Below are 1268 nucleotides of genomic sequence, written 5' to 3'. Positions count from 1 at the left end.
GAAATTATTGACAGCTTTGTTTGCGCTGTGCCTCGTGTCAGCAATGATTTGCTCGGCCTTCCAAAGATACATAAATGAGAAAAGGCTTCACAGTGAGGAATTTAGAGTGAAGAGAAAAGATGAGTGAGAAAACAATAAAGCCCTCCATTTCCTTGAAAAAGAAGAAAAGCATTACAATTGATGGCTAAGAGAAATACACATAGAGACACCCATTAAAATAGCAGGGCTCACCTTGGGGCCCCCAGGCTCACATTGCTTGGCTGCATAATATTTGCCTTGGCGATTGAGACATATGGAGCCAAGTTTGCCGCCGACCTCTAGCAACTGGGTGGGGCCCTTTCATGTGGATTTCTAGTCTTCACTGGGCTTTATTATTTTCTCGTCTCTCTTTTCTCTTCACCTCCAGTTCCTCAACTATTTCAAAGTTCCAGCAAATCTTTTGTGACTTGAGGCACAAAGTAAATCAGTCAATGAGTTAGAAATTATTATGGGATTTACTCAGAGGATGAGAGGAACCACTTACTGTAAATCTTCCTAAATTGACCTACCTGAAGCAAGAGTCAGAATTAATTGTCTGATTTAGTGGACATCATTTGTGAATATCCATACCTATTTTCAGCTCACCTAGTGAGGACTGGCTGCACACCTATTTAGTGCATGACCCAGGTTTAGGGATATTCTTCTGGAGATAACAAGAATGACAAGCTAGACAGGGTCCATGTCCCTCCTGGACCTCACCCTTCAGGTGGAGGAGGTGAGGAATGCCTTTCCAGAGGCTGGGGGTGATGGAGATAGAGCTGTTGCCTAGAAACTCGTGGGCACTGAGTTTACTCTCTGTACCCCAACGGGGAAGTGGTCCTGCCAAAAATGGGCCAAACCTTAGGGACTGGGAGAGCTTGATTTTGTAAACAGTTCCTTGAAGTGCAATGCATTGTTTACACAAATCCCTCCTGAAGGGTGAGAGAAGCTCTGAGTATGACAGAGTGGGAGAGCAGCAAGCATTGGACTTCCCCGTGCTGGCGCGACCTTGTGTGGCGTTCATCCCTGAACGCTGCGGGCCGGGCATCGGCTGCCCTCTGTGTGGCCCTTCCTCCTGTGAGAAGACTGCACTTGGAGCTCTCCCGAACTCTCCTGTGCGTGTAGGTTCCTTCCCTGCTGATCCATTGGCCACCAGAAGCACTTTACAAGAAAAGGACAATAAACATTCAAGTAAGTGAAGGAGATGATTTAGACAGTCAGTGTGATGTAAAGGAAAATGAGCCAGGGTG

At 46.4% G+C, this 1268-nt stretch overlaps 1 annotated feature.

Annotated features, from left to right (window-relative positions):
* Positions 563-1062: an enhancer, noted in NCBI's record as "H3K4me1 hESC enhancer chr11:133600941-133601440 (GRCh37/hg19 assembly coordinates)". NCBI's record gives its function as "activates a minimal SCP1, AML or CMV promoter by ChIP-STARR-seq in naive H9 embryonic stem cells {active_cell/tissue: H9 hESC(naive)}" and the evidence as "EXISTENCE:reporter gene assay evidence [ECO:0000049][PMID:30033119]".

This window comes from Homo sapiens, chromosome 11 (genome assembly GCF_000001405.40).
Source record: "Homo sapiens chromosome 11, GRCh38.p14 Primary Assembly".
NCBI lineage: Eukaryota > Metazoa > Chordata > Mammalia > Primates > Hominidae > Homo > Homo sapiens.
Note: the sequence above shows the minus strand (reverse complement) of the source record. Positions and strands in the feature narration are given on the sequence as shown.